We start from the raw sequence: 353 nt of genomic DNA, 5'->3' as shown, positions 1-353 counted from the left end.
AACCCTGTCTCTACTAAAAATACAAAAATTAGCCAGGCATAGTGGCACACGCCTATAATCCCAGCTACTGGGGAGGCTGAGGTGGGAGAATTGCTTGAACCCGGGAGGTGGAGGTTGCAGTGAGCTGAGATCACACCACTGCACTCCAGCCTGGGCAACAGAGCAAGACTCCATCTCAAAACAAAAACAAAACCAACCAAACAAACAAAAGGTTTTAGGGCAGTAAGGAAAGGAGGTAAAGTACACTTGGAAGAGGGTCAAGCAGGTGACTTGAGAGTCAAGTGCACTGTTTGACCTTGGACTTGGCGTTTGATACGTTGGCATCCTTCCGGGGCTTGCGTTAACTTTCCCCG

General features: G+C 49.0%; 1 annotated feature.

The window, feature by feature from the left end:
• Window positions 244-353: an enhancer, noted in NCBI's record as "active region_26122". NCBI's record gives its function as "activates an Ori minimal core promoter by ATAC-STARR-seq in GM12878 lymphoblastoid cells {active_cell/tissue: GM12878}" and the evidence as "EXISTENCE:reporter gene assay evidence [ECO:0000049][PMID:35858748]".

Source organism: Homo sapiens, chromosome 7 (assembly GCF_000001405.40).
Source record: "Homo sapiens chromosome 7, GRCh38.p14 Primary Assembly".
NCBI classification, from domain to species: Eukaryota; Metazoa; Chordata; class Mammalia; order Primates; family Hominidae; genus Homo; species Homo sapiens.
This window is presented reverse-complemented; position numbering and strand designations above follow the sequence as displayed.